General features: G+C 45.4%; 1 protein-coding gene across 1 annotated transcript in view, besides 1 other annotated feature; it reads right to left on the bottom strand.

Moving 5' to 3' along the window:
* LIMK2 (LIM domain kinase 2) overlaps positions 1-19380 on the bottom strand; it is a 67783-nt gene that overhangs the window by 35187 nt on the left and 13216 nt on the right. The window contains exon 2 of the mRNA NM_005569.4: positions 19075-19174. Coding sequence (NP_005560.1) covers positions 19075-19174 — 100 coding nt within the window. The remainder of the gene's footprint in view (positions 1-19074; positions 19175-19380) is intronic.
* Positions 15047-15106: an enhancer, noted in NCBI's record as "active region_18851". NCBI's record gives its function as "activates an Ori minimal core promoter by ATAC-STARR-seq in GM12878 lymphoblastoid cells {active_cell/tissue: GM12878}" and the evidence as "EXISTENCE:reporter gene assay evidence [ECO:0000049][PMID:35858748]".

Here is a 19380-nt window from a genome sequence, read left to right as displayed (position 1 = left end):
TTATAGACAACGTTCTACCATGCTATACCAAAGCTCAGCCTGGGCCCAGAGCCAGACTGTCTGGGTTTGAATGCGACAATGCACTGCATGTAAGCCCTTGGCACAAAGTCTGGGACACATTAAAGGTTGATAAATGTTAGCCATTAATATCATTAAGACTATTGTTACAACTACTGTGGGCTAGCTATGTGGCCTTTAGCAAGTCACTCTCTCTGTCTGGGCCTTGGTTAGGTCTCTAAATAGCTCCCAGCATCAACATTTTTCACCCCTATGAGGTTGCAGAGGGCTCTCTATTTTCCTTGGGTCTCAAGTTGAGTTTAAACTCTTGAGCAGGAGGTCAGGATCCTAGCCGAGGGGACACACAAGGGCCACAGAGGAGGTGAGGTGGGCTGGAAGTGGGGAAATAACATACGGGATACTGAAAGGGCTGCCCAGCTGGAGAGCTGGGAGCAATCTTTCTCCCAGCCACACAGACAACTATTTCTCACCAAAAATCTATTATGTTCCCCTGTAATTCAATCAGGCAAGAAGGGGGCCCCAAATTAAGTCTGGGACTAGCAAATTATCTTTTAATTGTACCCTCTGATTTCCATGTGATGAACACAGTACTAATGGAAGAATATGCAAGCCACAAAGAGACTGAGGCCAGGGAGCCTATGAGCATAACTCCTCTTGACATTTCACACAGCTCTGCTGTTCCAGCGGCGACGGGCTCAGTGAGTCGGTGTCTAGGAATGTGAGCAGGAGGCTGCAGGCGCTCTCCTCTCCCCCTACTCCTCTTACAAAGGACTTGGTGGGTGGGTGGGGAATAAGTGAGAGGACATCTCAATGCCATGAAAACTGCCTCCCCCTGGAAGAGGAACAGCCTTCTCCCCATGTCCTGAGTTGAAGCAGAAGCCCCTCCCAGGTGGAATCCATTTGACCTCCAAAAATTCAGACTTCAGGAGGAACCTTTGAAGGATTGATCACCAGATGTGATAAGCTGCTGGCTGCTCAGACCCAAGTGTGTGGTTCCTCAGAGCCAACTTCAAAGGGCCCAAGCCACCCATCACTGGGAGATGAAATGTCACACTGGAGGATATATTTCACCCTCCCACCCTTGGAAACTGGTCCTGGATAGAAAACTGCTCTTCTAGGTCCTCAGAGCAGCTGGCAGAACATTCATCAGTTATGGCTGCCAGAGGCAACTGCAGGAATCCTTTGACTGGCAATTATAGTAGGGATAAAATGGCAGGAGAGGTGTTAATCTCCAGCACATTTCATAAGTTGGAAACCTGGCACGGAGCTGAACAAACTGACTCCTTAGAACCAGCTGAGGCACAGGTCTTCAAAGCGTCTGTGACAGGCTGGAGAACAATAGCCTTCATAACCGGCAGCCCCAAGTGAATGTTCAGGCAAGGTGTGGTAAGTGAATGAATCACCCCAACCTTTTGTCGGAAGAAAGCTCTGGTCAAACAATTCAAAACCCAAGAAACTGTTTGTGTGAAGCCCTCTATTGGCTGGGAGGACTCCAATCAAGGAAGAGAATTTTTGAGGACTCCGAAGCCTCCAAATACTGAAAGGTAAGCATTACCACCCCCATCTACTAACCATCTTTCGTGCCCCACTCCTCCCCTCTTCCAAATCACTTTCTACATTATAGCAGCAGTCATCCTTCTAAAACAAGGGTCCCGGGCAGGCATGGTGGCTCATGCCTGTAATCCCAGCACTTTGGGAGGCTGAGGCAGGCAGATCACTTGAGGTCAAGTGTTCGTGACCAACCTGGCCAACATGGAGAAACTCCATCTCTGCTAAAAATACAAAATTAGCTGGATGTGGTGGTGTGTGCCCGTAATCCCAGCTACTGCGGAGGCTGAGGCAAGAGAATCGCTTGAACCCGGGAGGCGGAGGTTGCGGTGAGCCAAGATCATGCCATTGCACACCAGCCTAGGTGACAGAGCCAGACTCCGTCTCAATAAATAAATAAATAAAATGTCCCAGCAATTCCCAGCTTCACAGGGTTATGAGCATTAAATGAGAACATATGTGAACAAGCTCACTTCAGTATCTGGCTCATGGAACTCAGTCAGTGTTTTACAGAGTGAGAGTTTAGTATCTGCTACTCCTGTAATGTGATGTCATGTTCACAAACACCAGGTAAAAGACAATATTTGGCATCTATCTTAGGTATCATGGAAAGAGAAAAGAATTTGGCATCTGGATAGAACTTTAGAGATTTAGTCTAATCCTTTGTTTTACAGTTCATGAACTTGAAACTAGGAATGGAGAATTGGAAGCCCAAGACATATGAGGATACCAAGTCACATGAAATGTGTTCAGATTTTCAGACTGGGAGAATTATTTCCCAATATATTGAAAAAAGAAAATATGTTGGCACAGTGATGGAACCATTGTTAGTAACTTTGGAGAAACTGGAGAATGGGTGCAATATCTCCAAAGTGTAATGTTCCATATCTACTATATACCAGGCGCTGGGGATGTATTCATGAAATAAAAATGGAGATAGCTAACTGGCCCAGTTTTCAAAAAGGAGGAAAAACATACTGGAAAAAGGAAGCCTTATGATCCTTTTGCTTTGATTCCTTCACATAAATTCTAGGCAGATGATGGAATAAGTGGACAGTAAGCACTTAGAAAAGGAGCTGATCATCAGGAGTCAGCAGTAGTGAAATAGTAGTGACTAGTTAGACTTGACTTCATGTTTTCACTGGGTTACTCATCATGAGACCTTATCTTGGATTTCCACAGGCATTTGATAAACTCTTTCCTGATATCCAGACAGTAAGAATGTGGGCAGGAAATCTAGAAAAATCAGATACAAGAACTCAACATACCCAGCAATTTGAGGCTCTAAACTGTAGAGGCAGGATTCCTGAATACCTTGCTAGAGCTCACATTGAGGAAAGGGCATGGGATTTGAGCTCAGAAAACTTTTCTTTTAATTTCAGTGCTGCCCTTCCCAGCAGCATAAACTTGGATAAATTATTTAACATCTCTGGGCTTCCCTTGTCCTGCTTGTGCTATATTCCTCAAGAGGTTGTTGCAGGAACTAAACTAGATGATGAGTACAAAAGCCCTCTGTAAACTGAAGATGCATTATAAACATTAGTTATTATCACTGTTCTAGTGCTATAGTTGCTCATCATGGGGGTCCTGAATCATAGGTTTCTTTACTAGGCATCTGTGGACACCTGGTATGGGCCAGGCCTATGCTGGGCACTGACAGTACCTAGTGCCTGCCTTCACGTAGTTTGATCTGGTGATAGACAGATATGGCCACAGGGTCCTTCCTGGGTGTGATGTGCTTGGAGACACATTGAAGGAACCCTTCCCAGAGGAGAATGAATGCTGTGTCAGAGCAGGGCCTGGAAAAAGGAGGAGAAGACAGCACCTGCAGGAGATGTAGGAGGCTGTAAAAGGAGTTAAGAGAGCAAAGGTTTGGGGGACTCCCAGGGAGCCTTATGTGGTGAGTCATCAATGGAGTACAGCAGGAGGTGACCAGAGCCGTTCCTGAGGGAACTAAGGTTCACAGAGAAGGTTGCTGTTTAAGGTCACAGGTCTAGGAACTGACAAAGCTGGAGTTTGACCCAAGTCTTTGGACTCCAGGTCCAACATACTAAAACTGCCTCAAATAACTATTTTATTCTTGCCATTTGATTTACAGTAATATTTCTGAAAGTGTAACTAAAGGAATAGCAGCATTGGACCCTCTGGTCAGCTTGTTGAAAATCAAGATTCCTGAGTCCCACTTCAGATATACAGAATCAGAATCGCTGAGACTGGGGCTAAGAATCTGCATTTTAAACAAGCCCCAGTGTTTCTGATCCACACTAACAATTGAAAACCAATGCTTTTCTTTTTCCTAAGTGCTTTTCCACTTGATTTCATTTTATTCTCACAATAACCCTCAGAGGCAGGCAGGATAGATCACTATCATTACCTTGTTACAAACGAGAAAATGAATGTACAGATAGCTTGTTCATCTTCTTATCCTGAACGTAGCTTAATAAATAAATGTTTGGTGATTGACATTTTGTTAAGCCTTGGCTAAGTAGAGACTTTCACCTTCCTGGTGCCACTCTTACCCATTTGTAACCCCACAGTAGCTGCCTCTCTCTTTCCTTGGTGACGCGGCAGTGGTGCTCACGTTATGGTATAAAAAGGTGATTCTAGGCCAGGCGCGGTGACTCACACCTGTAATCCCAGCACTTTGGGAGGCTGAAGCAGGCAGATCACAAAGTCAGGAGATCGAGACCATCCTGGCCAACACGGTGAAACCCCGTCTCTACTAAAACACATAAAATTAGCCAGGAGTGGGGGTGTGCGCCTGTAGTAACAGCTCCTCGGGAGGCTGAGGCAGGGGAATCACTTGAACCCGGAAGGTGGAGATTGCAGTGAGCTGAGATTGTGCCACTGCACTCCAGCCTGGCGACACAGCGAGACTCCAACTCAAAAAAAAAAAAAAAGTGATTCTAGAAGATAGCGTCATTCCATGAAAGTGCTATCTCTGGAACTAAAACAAATTTCAAACAAACAAACGTGAGGGATGACATTAGCCAACTTCAGAAACGGTGCTTCTGCAAGAGTCAGTGCTACTGATGGCAGTGGAGCACCCTCTGATCTCAGCAAAATCTCTATAGGGCATCATCAGGAAGTCATGACCAGAATACAGCTGACACACAAAAGAAAACAACCTTAACTCAAGTCTGGCATGAGATGCTGAGGGTTTTTTTTGTAATCGTAAGCAGTATGGAGAAAGAATTTGTTAGCACACTTCCAGCACTGCCCATGGGAGAAGGGACTCTAGCTTTTGGGGGAAAAATGAAAAACACGGCAAAATAAGCACAGCAGGTTGCTACAGTTGCAGAAGGCATGCCATTCCTTGAGGCCCTGGTTTTGATGGTTTAAGACTTAGGGATGACATTTACAGACTGAGGTCTTAGTCTACATAAGTTTGAGCTTATCTTATCACCTCAAAAGATAAGCTCTTGCCTAAAAGAATATTGTAGAGCGAAGAGATGGTAATGGTGCATACTGGATGGACTTTATTCAAGTGTCCAAAGAGTCGTTCAACAAATACATCATTCACCCAGCAAACACTCTGAGCACCCACTACATTCTAGGCACTTTGCTAAGCTCTGGGATACAAAGACAAACTAGATACGGCTCCACACTTGGAGAATTTCACACTCTAAGAGTGATGCTAGATGTGTAAACAAATACTGAAATGGATATAACTGAGGTATGAAGAGAATAACGAAGAGAATAACAAAGAGAGAAGAAGTCTCTGATTGGTGGGGAGAGGTATGGGTGGATTTGGCGGGGGGCTCCTCCACAGAAGATGGGATGGTATTGGCAGACTCTAATAGGCTGATTGCCAGGCAGTAACAGGCATTCTGGCCTGAAGGAACAACATGTGCAAATGCACTGAGGCATAAAGAGTATGGTATGCTCATATAACGCTGAGCAGGTCTGTAAGCTCTAGTGCATGGCACATATGGGCAGCAATTAGACAGGAGGCCAGAATGGTGGAAGAGAGTAGGGGCAGAGCACTAAAGACCAAGTCTGCTAGGCTAAAGAGTTGCCTACAGGCAGTGAAGAGCTATCAGAGGTATTTAAGCAAGCAGTGATTTTTAACAGAACGCAAAGCTGAAATGCCAAAGAGAATGCTGATCTTTAGTTGCCAGTTTGGCTCTCTGAATGGGTATAAATGCCTAAAGTCTACAGTTGGCCGTGTATATGCCCATGTGAAATTTGCTGGCCAACTAGTGTTCACTAACAGCAGAGTATGCCTTTGTCCTGGGGCCACATCTCTACTGCCTTGTCATTTTAACAGCTGATATTTGTCTATATGGGCTGTAAGCACATAAGCATGGAATTGCAACCCCTTATAGATAATCATCCACTGTTGCTCCATGATACTAATTAGAAAATTGAATGTCTAACATTGAGTAACAAATGCTGTGTTGACAGGGACATCCTTCTCCAGGCTGCACTGGGAAAAATGCTTCGGATATCTCAAGAAATCTCTAGGCAATTCAAGGAAAAAAGCCCTCGTCTGGCAGGGAACACCTGAAAAATCACCCTGGTTAACAGAAAATCTGCGTGTGATCTTAGGCAAGCCATTAAATCTCTCTGGGCTTCAACTTCTTCCTCTGTAAAAGGAAGGAGTTAGGTGAGCAAAAAATTCCATACCCATTACAGGTCAATGCTTAAAGAAGCAACGAGGAAGGAGGTGTGATCAAAGGAAGGTTGACTGGTGGACCACCCAGAGAACTCTTCAAGGCTGATGTTTTCTTGGTGAATGACCCTAATCTAGGCCTAGCTTTTGGCCTTTCAGGTTTTTGACCTTCCTAATGTCCAAAGAGGTGTAGACATTCTGTGATGGTTCTGACCTAACCATTTATCAAACCCTCTGTACACTTATGAATTGACTATTAAAATCAGAACACTCATATCCCCTATACAGGTACTACTTCCAGACCCTTCCTGTTATTAAGTATCCCAGGAAGCTGAATTAGGCATCAGAAGGTTGCTCTGTGAGCATGGACTTAAAATAAAGGGAAATGAGTAGCCACTGAAAGAAATTTCATCCTGGCAGTGGTGAGTCAGCCAAACTAGCCCAGGTTGCCACAAAGGACCCTATTCTGGTGACCAAATCTAGATTCAGCATCTTTATCTGAATACAGTACTAGTTTTGCTTCACTAACTTTTCACTTTCTGTTTCATTGCTGGCCACTTATTTATTATATTGGTTTTGGTTTTTTTTTTTTTTTTTTGAGACAGTGTCTCCCTCTGTCACCCAGGCTGAAGTGCAGTGGCACAAACTCGGCTCACTACAACCTCCACCTCCTGGGTTCAAGCAATTCTCCTGCCTCGGCCTCCCAAGTAGCTGGGATTACAGGGACCTGCCATCATGCCTGGCTAATTTTTGTACTTTTTTTTTTTTTTAGCAGAGACAGGGTTTCACCATGTTGGCCAGGCTAGTCTCGAACTCCTGACCTCAAATGATCTGCCCACCTCGGCCTCCCAAAGTGCTGGGATTACAGGTGTGAGCCACTGCGCTCGGCCTTATATTGGTTTTTAAACTAAGTTTTAATTGAAAAAAATAACTACTTCTTTAGATATGTGCGACAATCACCAATTCACACATATTATTCAGCCCTGGCAGACATTTGCCTCTCTAGTAACTAATAACAAAGAACAAACATTCATGAGTGCTCTGTGAATAGTGTTCCCAGTGCTACACACACTTTTATTCACAGTAATACTGTGAGGGTAGGTTGTAAGGAGGTAGGTAGTAAGTTTGTATCTCCATTTCTTCTTTTTTTTTTTTTTTGAGACGGAATCTCACTCTACTGGAGGGCAGTGGCGCGATCTCAGCACACTGCAACCTCCATCTCCCAGGTTCAAGCTATTCTCCTGCCTTAGTCTCCTAAGTAGCTGGGATTACAGGTGCCTGCCATCGTGCCTGGCTAATTTTTGTAATTTTAGTAGAGACAAGGTTTCACCATGTTGGCCAGGCTGGTCTGGAACTCCTGACCTCAGGTGATCCGCCCGCCTCGACCTCCCAAAGTGCTGGGATTACAGGCGCGAGCCACCGCGCCCAACCTCCATTTTTTTTTTTTTTTTTGAGACAGAGTCTTGCTCTGTCGCCCAGGCTGGACTGCAGTGGCGCGATCTCAGCTCACTGCAAGCTCCGCCTCCCGGGTTCACGCCATTCTCCTGCCTCAGCCTCCTGAGTAGCAGGGACTACAGGTGCCTGCCACCATGCCTGGCTAATTTTGTGTATTTTTAGTAGAGACGCGGTTTCACTGTGTTAGCCAGGATGGTCTCGATCTCCTGACCTTGTGATCCGCCCCCCTCGGCCTCCCAAAGTGCTGGGATTACATGCGTGAGCCACCGTGCCTGCTGGCCTCCATATTTTTTTATTTTATTTTATTTTATTTTATTTTATTTTATGTTTATTTATTTATTGAGACAGAGTCTCGCTCTGTCTCCCAGGCTGGAGTGCAGTGACATGATGTTGGCCCACTGCAACCTCCGCCTCCTGGGTTCAAGCGATTCTCGTGCCTCAGCCTCCAAGTGAGTAGCTGGGACTACAGGAGCATGCCACCATGCCTGGCTAATTTTTGTATTTTCAGTTGAGATGGGGTTTCACCATGTTGGCCAGGCTAGTCTCGATCTCCTGACCTCAAGTGATCCACCTGCCTTGGCCTCCCAAAGTGCTGGGATTACTGGCGTGAGCAAACGCGCCTGGCTCGTTTCTTTTTTTTTTTTTTTTTGAGATAGGGTCTTGCTCTGTCATCCAGGCTGGCATGTAGTGGTGCAGTCATGGTTCACTGCAGCCTCAACCTCCTGGGCTCAAGCAATCCTCTCGCCTCAGCCTCCTGAGTAGCTGGGACCACAGGCATGAGCCACCATGCCTGGCTAAATTTTTGATTTTTTGTGGGGATGAGGTCTTGCTCTGTTACCCAGACTGATCTTGAAACTCCTGAGTTCAAGCAATCCTCCCGCCTAGGCCTCCCAAAGTGCTGATATTATAAGTGTAAGCCCTGCACCCAGCCTGTATCTCCAGTTTGTTTTTTTTTTTTTTTTTTAGACTGAGTCTAGCTCTTGTCACCCAGGCTGGAGTGCAGTGGTGCAATCCTGGCTCACTACAACCTCTGCCTTCCAGGTTCAAGTGTTTCTCCCGCCTCAGGCTCCTGGGTAGCTGGGATTACAGGCACCCGCCATCATGCCTGGCTAATTTTTGTATTTTTGTAGAGACAGGGTTTCACCATGTTGGCCAGGCTGGTCTTGAACTTCTCACCTCAGGTGATCTGCCCACCTCGGCCTCCCAAAGTGCTGGGATTATAGGCATGAGCCACTACGCCTGGCCTCTCCATTTTCTAGATGAGAAAAATGAAGCACACAAAGGGCAAGTAACTTGCCCAAAGTACACAGATAATAAAAGGCAGAACCAGGATTTGAAACTAAGCAATCTGGTTCTAGAGTGTGCTCTTAACTACAACACAATACTGCTTTCATTACTTGTGGATCTAATTAGTTCAACTCACAGAGGACAAACTTCATTTCCAACTTCTTGGGGGAACTGCCAACCTATCCACCCCACTCCCCATCATAAATCACCTATAAGTAAAAGATACTATGCAAGTATTCCATTTTTTCCACTCTATATTGAATATATATCTTTAGTTAATGCCATCTTTCAAATATACAATTTAAGAAAACAAAATGAAACAAAACAAACTTACGATTGGAATTGAAATTTTTCAGATTTCAGGGCAATTCATAATCAGTTTGGTGGCTAGAGTAGCTGAACTCATTCTTCCTCTCTTGCCCTCCTCTCCGGAGGTACCTAGGGCTTGTTCCTGCCTGGATTGTAGCTACAGAGAAGTGCAGCTCAAGACCTGCTGCTGGAAAGAAGGACTCCTGGGGTCAGCTTCTCTGGCTTCTACTCACTATGGGATAGCTCCTCTGAGGGCAAAAGACAAAGCTTTAACTTATCACCCTGACACTTGCAGGCAATTTTCTAAAACAACCCAATGTCCGGAACTGATTCCGTCTTGCCATTTACAGTAACTGCAGCCACGGTGGCTGCTATAGGAAGGATGTGGGGAAGGGGAAGGGGAAGGGCAGGGAAAAGCCTGACTTACATCATATCTCTTGGCCACCTCTAGCAATTCATTCAACAAATATCCCTCCTATGCCAACAATATGCTCAGTGCTGACACAATGAGGGGCAAAAACCCCACAGTCCATGACCAAATTGTTCTATTAGAGGTCTTAAGATATCATTAAGGAGATGATCACATGAATAAATGTGAGATTAAAACTACTTTTTTAAAAAAAGCCTCAAAGGAAAGGTCTATGAAAACATAAAACAGGGACCTAACCTATTTTTCAGGGTGAGGAATTACTTCTATATTTCTCTGAGCCATCCAGGTAAAGATCTAAACGATAAGCAGGAGTTAAGTGAACAGAGTAAGGGGGCATTCTAGGCAGAGGGAGCAGAATGAACAAAGCCCTTGTCAGAAGGAGGGCCTGTCCAGAAGAGAGGTGAGGCTGAAGTGCAGGGAGCAGGAGGTTGTGGAGATGTGGAGAGAGGCCACATTACGGAGGGCTCTACTGTAGGCCAAATTAAGGAATTTTTTTTTTTTTTTTTTTTTTTGAGATGGAGTCTTACTCTGTCACCAGGCTGGAGTGCAGTGGCGTGATCTGGGCTCACTGCAACCTCTGCCTCCCAGGTTCAAGTGATTCTCCTGCCTCAGCCTCCCAAGTAGCTGGGACTACAGGCACACGCCACCACGACCAGCTAATTTTTGTATTTTTAGTAGAGATGGGGTTTCACCATGTTGGCCAGGATGGTCTCAATCTCTTGACTTCATGATCTGCCTGCCTCGGCCTCCCAAAGTGCTGAGATGATAGGTGTGAGCCACCGCGCCTGGCCAAGTTAAGGATTTTGGTCTTTATCCAAGAACACTGGGAAGTTGTGGAAGTATACAAGGTAGGAGAGACAACACAGAGTGACACAGTCAAGTTTTTTTTTGTTTTTTTTTTTTTTAAGATCACTCCTTCCAGCCAGGTGCAGTGGCTCACACCTGTAATCCCAGCACTTTGGGAGGCCGAGGCAGGTGGATCACTTGAGGTCAGGAGTTCGAGACTAGCTTGGCCAACATGGCAAAACCCCATCTCTACTAAAAATATAAAAATTAGCTGGGTATGGGGGCCGGTGCCTTAATCCCAGCTACTTGGGAGGCTGAGGCAGGAGAATTGCTTAAACCCGGGAGGCAGAAGTTGCAGTGAGCCGAAATTGTGCCACTGCACTCCAGCCTGGGGAACAGAGTGAGACTCTGTCTAAAACAAAACAAAACAAACAACAAAAATCACTCCTTCCAACTGCTCTATAGAGAACAGATTAGGGGGTGCAGAGTGGCTGTGGGAGATGAGGCTATTGCAGACATCCAGGTGAGATGATGGTAGCTTGGAGCAGGGTGGTGGTGGGAGAAAAGGAAAGAAGTAAACCTACCAAAATATAATTTAGAGATAAAACTGATAGGCTTGGATATGCAGGATGAGAGAGAACAGGTATCAAGGATTCCTAGGTTTCTGGCTTAGGCACTGGGTGGATGGTGGTGCCTCTCAATGACATACATGTTTCAGTGGAAGAGGAGCCAGTTTTAGGGGGAAGAGTGAAAGTCCAGCAAAGTCTAGAGAAGAGAGTCTGAAGTGCCTGGAAGACATTCAAATGGACAAGCCAGGTTGATAGTACAACATATGGGTCTAGAACTCAGTGGAAAGGTTTAGGCTGGAGATACTGATTTTAGGGTCATCAGTGTGTGGAGGACAATGGAAGGAAGTCATGAGTGTGTGTAAGACTGCCTAAGGAGAAAACAGCACGCCTGAAGGAATGGTAACATCCCAGAGCTGGACAAAGAAGGATAAGCAAACAGGTATTACCAGAGAGGTAAGAGAAAACCAGGAGAGTGTGGAATGTCATGAAAGCCAAGGGAAGAGAACATTTCAAGACTGACAGATACTAATAATAAATGCTAACATCTGTTAAGTCCCAGTCATGGCCAGACATTCTGCTCAGGACTTTGAATACATGATTGAATTTAATGTTAACAACTTTTTGAGGTGGGAGCCATTTCCCTTTTCATAGACAAGGAAACTGTGGCAAAGAATGGTTAAGCAGCTGACTCATGGTCAGGTGGCTGGTAAGTGAAGCTGGCATTTAAGCTCAAGCAGCCTGACTCCGAACTTTATCCACTTTTCTCTAATACAACCCTTAGTGCAGTTTGGGAGGTCATATAAGATGAAGCCTGAAGAGTGGTCGGTAGACAGACTGATGAAGCTGTTATTCGGAATATTACTAAAGGAATGTTGTTTCAGGGGAGAAACAGAATGAAAGCCAGGCTGGAGCCCATGGTTAGGAATGCTCCATGACATTCTCTATTTCCAGCTGTCTTAGGGAACCAGTTAAGAGACCAGGCCAGGTGCCGTGGCTCATACCTGTAATCCCAACACTTTGTGAGGCCCAGGTGGGAGGATCTCGAGCCCAGGAGTTTGAGACCAGCCTGGGCAACAGAGCAAGACCCTGTCTCTACAAAAAATTAAAAAAAAATTAGCTGGGCATGGTAGTGTGTGCCTGTAGTCCCAGCTACTCAGGAGGATTGTTTAAGCCTGGGAGATTGAGGCTATAGTAAGCTATCATCATGCCACTGCACTCCAGCCTGGGCAATAGAGCAAGACCTATCTCAAAAATAAATAAGCTAATTAATGAATTAATTAAGAGGCCAGGCTAGTATGCCAACTCCGTATCCCCCACAGTGCCTAATTTGATGACTTTTATATATAGCAAATGACGCTTGATATATTTGGATAGTTAATATAAGATGCACAATGTTGCCATGTGCTGCTGCTAATCCTTCACATTAAACCATTCTAATGTTTTCAGAGTCCTTGATCATCACAACTACTCCATGAGATGGATTTCTTTTATGACATTTTACAGATAAGAAACTGAGGCTCACAGGGGCTAAGGAACTTGCCCACAGTTACACAGTTAGCCTAGCTCAACTAAGACTCAAATCAGATTTTCTGTCTCCAAGTCTACTGTTTTTTTTTTTTTTTTCTCCTGGGAGTCCTAGTGGAAAGCAGACTCTCTTGGGAGCCAGGGAGACCTGAGTTCAAATATCATCTGTGTGACCCTGGACAAGTTACTCCAAACCTTTCTGGGCCTTCCTGTTTTAGTATAAAATGGGGGTTGCACTGGCCAGGCACAGTGGCTTACTTCCGTAATCCCAAGCACTTTGGGAGGCTGGGGCAGGAGGATCGCTGGAGTTCAAGACCAGCCTGGGCAACATAGTATTAATAAGACCTTGTTTCTACTTAAAATAAAAAAAAATGGCAAGGTGTGGTGGCACGCCTGTAGTCCAAGCTGCTTGCAAGGCTGAGGTGGGAGGATTGCTTGAGCTCAGGAGGTTGACACTGCAGTGAACTATGATTGTACCAGTGCACTGTAGCCTGGACAACAGAGCAAGACCCTGTCTCAAAAAAAGGTGGGGGTTGCAGGGTTATTATGAAGATTGAATCAGATAATCTAAGTGAGGTTCTTAATACAACGTTTAATTAATATCAGTTATCTATCTCTGGCCTCATCTCTCTCCATTTTTCTACCTCTGCCTCCTATAGAAGCTGTGAAACATCTGTGGGTCCTTAGTTCTCTCTTCTCAAAGTAAAGAGCAGGATTAAGGCACATTCAAGCTCATATGCTGCTGCTACATCCTAGGAGTACCACTCTGTGGTCAGGCTGGAGTCTCTTGTAGGGGCAGAGGAAGAACCAGATGTCTGCCCTTCCTTCCTCTGTCAGGCAGGCCCCAGCCCCCTGTCCAATAGCCAGCCTTAATGATCTACGGGCTGGCTGTTTCCTAAAAGATAAACTGGACAAATGAGTAAACACCTTCTGGAGAAGGCCACAGCCAGAATCAAAGGTTTAGGTTAGTAAGTGTGGCAGCAACATCAACAGCATAACAGCAGATGGCAGGGTTGCTCCACTGACTCTACATCAGGAGCCTGAGACCCAGAAGAAAGTTAACAGCACTTTTGTTGACATTATAGAGTCCATGAAGCCTTTAAACTAACACCCTTCAATGTTATCTGACACTACCAGTGTGTGGCAGGCAGGGTGAGGGCTCTTTACCCCATATTATATAAGAGGAAACTGAGCCTCAGTGAGGTTAAGAAATATGCTTGCATTCAAGAATGCCAAGAGACTCTTGCAGGCAAGGAGTAAGAATGCCTGAGTTCAAATCTCAGCTATGCTACCTATTAGCTCTGTGACTTTAAACAAGTAACCTCCATTTCCCTATTCTCGAAGTAGGTAAGACTAGTACTACATTTTATTAAGTCATTGTAAGGATTAAATGTGCTATGCATGTCGTATGCTCAGGAGGGTGTCTGGCACAGAGTACTCAATAAGTGGTACCTATTACTGTAATTATGATTCTACCAGGCTTGCTTAGATGGGGATGAGGGGAGAGAAAATGAATGTGGCTTTCAGCATCACAGAAAGTACCCTGCTGTCAGCCAACATATTACAACACAGTCTCTGGTTGCTACGTGTGTTATTTCTTCACTGGCCTTCCTGGAGTCACTAAATTTAGCGGAAATGGTCTGTTGCCTGATGCAGTGACCACAGTCTTCTATCTGCATTAGCCCTTTCCCAGAGTATAGGTATTAGTAACCGCTTTTCAAAAGTGAAAGCTCAAATAGTCTTATGTTTGCAATCCTGAGAAAGGAAGTCCTGAAAGTTCCCAGGAGCCTTAAGAGCGGTGGATTTTCCTTCTGATAATGCTGCTAGGAACCAGGTCAAGCAATAGAGACCCACGCTGGGGCCATCAAGACTAATAGGGGTAGCTTTTCTTCCCTCCTCCTAAGCCAAACACCTTTGATCAGGGTGAACGGACAATCATCAAAAAAGTTGTCAAGGTCCTCTGGCTTGCTAACATGCCAAGAGGCCAGGTCACCATTGATAGCTCCACACTTTAACCTCAGCTACAAATGACATGCTCTCTGGCTACTCTCCTGGCCTCTCCTAAGGAGAGAGAGCCAGGTCCAGAGAACATCAGAAAGGATTGCCCCAGATACAGAATTAATGGCACTGCTCAAGGAAAGGAAAGAGAGGTAACTCAGAGTTTTAAAAAAGGCCTACTGGGCTGGTCCAAGTACAATAGTGTTTACAAGTAATTGATCACTACCAGTTACCGATTTCTTTGTTCCTTTTCCACTCCCACAATTTCACTTCACTAGCCTAAAAAAAAAAAAAAAAAGAAAGAAAGAAAGAAAGAAAAAAAAGAAAAGAAAAAAAGGAAAAAAAAGAGGCCTGTTGGGAAGGCTTGGGAGGACTAGTCAGCCATATGTCCAGGAGATCCAAAAGATTCTGGCCAGCTGCCTAATCGCACCAGCACAATTACTGACAGAGCTACTTTCAGTTTTGTCACTGGCCTCCATTGCACAGTCTGAGGTTCCAGCTTTAAGTAGCTTCCTGTTGTCCTGGGCACCTGAGGGTCTGTCGGAAGGCTAACAGAGGCAGGATTATGGATGTGGCTGCAGACAGAAGAATGGGGTAATGTAAGGGAGAGATGAGGGGAGGAGTTTAGGATGGACCCCAGCAATTTCTCCATTCAATATCCAGCCCCACCCTGTGACTAGGAAAACAAAGGTACTGGGGGAAGGGGAGAAGAAAAGTCATTTCCTTTATTGTAACTGTAGCCCAGCTGGGTAAGAGCAAGGCTGGAAGGGGGCCTTGAAGAATGAATTTCTCTGAGTAGCACAGAGGGAGAGTCCTCCTCCCAGCAGGCCTGCACTACTCAGGTACTCTAAATTCATCAGAGAAACACTGGCAAGCTGGCGTGGGAGAGATCTTACAAGACCATTCAGGTTGATGCCCCATGTTCCTCAAAACCCAGGTTATCTCTGGGGTCAGACAAATACAATCCTTCCTAGCCCTGAAGATTTTCCTCCAACTGGGGCAAAAGTCAAATTAGATCCAAAAGACAGTCACTCTCCCCAGGGCAAATTACCAGGCTCTATCTGAGGGCGCCGTGACATCCAGTTTGAATTTACCAGGGGAAAGCTCAGAAGTCAGGAGATGTGCTCCTTCAGCACAGCTGGATTAGAGTCTCTGTCCTCAAGGTAAAGCTGCAACTAGGAGACAGAACCTAGATACTCTACTTCCTCCACGGGAATGATATTTGGCTTGATTGTGTCAGGGTAGTTCAAAGTTGCCCTTAATCCCTGGGGCTCCACATCAGATCACCAATGAATGTGTAATAAGAGAAATGTATACATATAGGTGTATATAGACACACACTCACAACATAATATAAAGTGACAGTTACTGATTATTAAGGGTTTTTTTTTTCATTTGTTTTGTTTTGAGACAGGGGTTTCACTCTGTCCCCCAGCTGGATGGAGTACAGTGGCATGATCACAGCTCACTACAGCCTTGATATCCCTGGGCTCAGGTAATCATCGCTCCTCAGCTTCCCAAGTAGCTGGGACTACAGGTGTGTGCCATCACGCCTGGCTAATATTTTTGTATTTTTTGTAGAGGTGGAGTTTTGCCATGTTGGCCAGGCTGGTCTCAAACTCCTGGGCTCATGGGCTCAAGCGATCCTTCTGCCTCGGCCTCCCAGAGTGCTAGGATTACAGGCATAAGCCACCACGTCCGGCCCTATTAAGAGTTTTCTATATGTCAGATGCTATGCTAGCCACTTTATATAGGTTATCACATTTAATCCTCCCTAACAACCATGTGGCATGAGTAATATTCTTATCCTCATTTTACAGATTGGTGCCTGAAGCTCAGGGAAGTCACTTAAGGCTAGTTAATAAATTGCAAAGCCAGGATTTAAAACCATAGTCTCATTCCATAGCCTGTACTCTTGGTGGTGGTTGTTTTTTTGCGATGGAGTTTCCCTCTTGTTGCCCAGGCTAGACTGTAATGGCACAATCTCGGCTCACTGCAACTTCTGCTTCCCGGATTCAAGCGATTCTCCTGCTTCAGCTTCCCAAGTAGCTGGGATTACAGGCATGTGCCACCATGCCAAGCTAATTTTTTTCTGTATTTAGTAGAGATGGGGTTTCACCATGTTGGTCAGGCTGGTCTCGAATTCCTGACCTCAGGTGATCCACCTGCCTTGGCCTCCCAAAGTGCTGGGATTACAGGCGTGAGCCACCACGCCTGGCCTGCCTGTACTCTTATCTACCATGCTAACGTGTCTACTTCCTCTTTATGTATTTGTGTACATATGTTATCTTTCTGTCTCTATCTCACACACACACACACACACACACACACACGCACGCACAGAGCTAACAAGCTAGCATCTGACTAGACCTACAAATGACCCAAGAGTTCAGTGCTAGGGCCAGCTCTTGTCATCCATGGCCTGAGCAAGTCTTTTTGGTTTCAGGCCTCATCTGTGATATGAATGGGTTATACCATATAGTGGGTGGTTTCTTCTAGTTCTGAAGTTTTTTAGCTCTAAGAGAATCCAGAAATTCCAAAGATTAACTTGCTCTACCCTGTCCTGCTTATTTTGGATAGAAAATATTCATACACATAGGAAAACAGCAAGAATATGAACATATGGGTTACATGCCAAGGCGAGACCCAATCTGTGAACTCATTGGGTTTTGACGTTACTTATTAGTCCCAGCTATAAAATGAAAGGACCAGCCAAAGGCTTTAACTATAAGGTCCCTTACAGCTCTGACATTCTCTGCTCCTGTCATACTAAATGGAACAGAAAAGACAGAATCAACTTCCCTGGGAGTAAAAGGGGCAAGAACCAAGGCAATAAGATCCACAGAAAAGACTTGAGAGCTCTGAGTTATAGCTGAAAGGAAAGGATAATAATGATGGTTGCTTTCCAACTCTTCCAGAGGCCAGACGTCTCCAGGCCAATCCCCTATATGGTTCCCAGGGAAGAGGCAAGTGTTTAAAGGTCAACTCAATTACTTGGTATAAGCACAGGGATGTTTTACAACAAGAGCTATGTGCAGGAGCTGGAATCTACAGCACAAGGTGCCTGCCTAGTCTATCTCATTCTCAGGATATAGGCACAGCCCTACCACTTCAGACCTTGGGGGCCAGGCATGCCCATCCAGCCTCTGGAGTGGACTGCTCTTCTTTCCACCAACAAATTTCAACTATTTTACGTTGTGAAGAATATAAAGACAAGTTCCCACCCTTGAGAATTCCAATCCGATGGGAGGAAGGAATAACCATTCACTGGGTGTCTACCATGTACTGGATACACTGCATATATTATTTCATTCAATCTCAACAAGATTATTACCATCCATTTTCCAGATGAAGAAACTGAGCCTCAGACAGCAGGAACAAATCTGATTTGAAGTCTGTATAATTTTTAAGAAACTGAGCTGCCTACAAAAATAATGTAGCTATAGGCAGGGCGCGGTGGCTCATGCCTGTAATCCCAACATTTTGGGAGGCCGAGGCAGGCGGATCACCTGAGGTCAGGAGTTTGAGACCAGCCTGGCCAACAAGGTGAAACCCCGCCTCTACTAAAAATACAAAAATTAGCTGGGCGTGGTGGCAGGTGCCTGGAGTCCCACCTACTAGGGGGGCTGAAGCAGGAGAATTGCTTGAACTCGGGGGGCAGAGGTTGCAGTGAGCCAAGATCACATCACTGTACACCAGCCTGGGCGACAGAGCGAGACTCTGTCTCAATAATAATAACAATAATAATAATAATGTAGCTATAATAAAGCTAGTAACAAAAAGTAGGAACCTAGGGAGGCAACCTGTGGTGAGGAAGAGCTGGCTCTGCCAACCACACTAAAAACAACTCTTGGCTGGGCACAGTGGTTCACGCCTGTGATTCCAGCACTTTGGGAGGTCGAGGTGGGTGCATCATTTGAGGTCAGGAGTTCAAGACCAGCCTGACCAACATGTTGAAACCCCCGTCTCCACTAAAATACAAAAATTAGCTGCGCATGGTGGCAGGTGCCTGTCATCTCAGCTACTCAGGAAGCTAAGGCAGAAAAATCACTTGAACCCAGCAGGCAGAGATTGCAGTGAGCCGAGATTGCACCACTGCACTCCAGCCTGGGCAACAGCAAGAATCCCTCTCATAAAATAAAATAAAATAAAATAAAATAAAATAAAATAAAATAAGAATACAAACAACTCTTGAAGTACCTGCATAATCTGTAGTGCAGCCACAGGAAAGTCACTCTTCCTGGGCCTCAGTTTCCTCACCCATAAAGTGAGGGATATGGGACAACCCTGGAAAGGGCTCCTCTCATCCCCCCACCCTGCCTCCAGCTGGCCCATTTATGGCTCTTCCAATTTAACCTGGGTTCAGGGGGGCCACACTTGAGGTTTGGTCATGAGCTCTTCCTTGGTACATTCCTTTCCCCACCCTAAGATTGAAATTCTCAACTCAGAAGCTTGTTTCTGTGTTTTCCATCAGAACATGAAATAGTGCTTGGCCCATAGTACACTGGTAAAGATGGGAGGATAGGCCCACCTACCGGAAGCAAGAGCCGTGCCAGGTTTCGTTGACAGTCCTGTACCATATCTGGCTTGGAGCAATGTGGTCCCCACAGCCTGGACACCTCCAGACATCTTCACCTGCACACAAAACCAAGAGGTTGAGAGGCCCAAAGTAGCAGGAGGCAAAGGGACAGGATTCCTACCATGTAGAATAAGACTGAGTTAACAGCATCTCATTTGAAAGGGTTAGGCCAATGCTCTGCTAGATGCACAGTTTCTGCCTCCACAAGATCTCTGGTAAGCACTTGTCCAACCTCTGCTCATCTCTCCAGGGACAAGGAACT

This window comes from Homo sapiens, chromosome 22, assembly GCF_000001405.40.
Source record: "Homo sapiens chromosome 22, GRCh38.p14 Primary Assembly".
Lineage (NCBI taxonomy): Eukaryota > Metazoa > Chordata > Mammalia > Primates > Hominidae > Homo > Homo sapiens.
The sequence above is the reverse complement of the archived record's forward strand: the minus strand, read 5'-3'. Positions and strand labels throughout refer to the sequence as shown.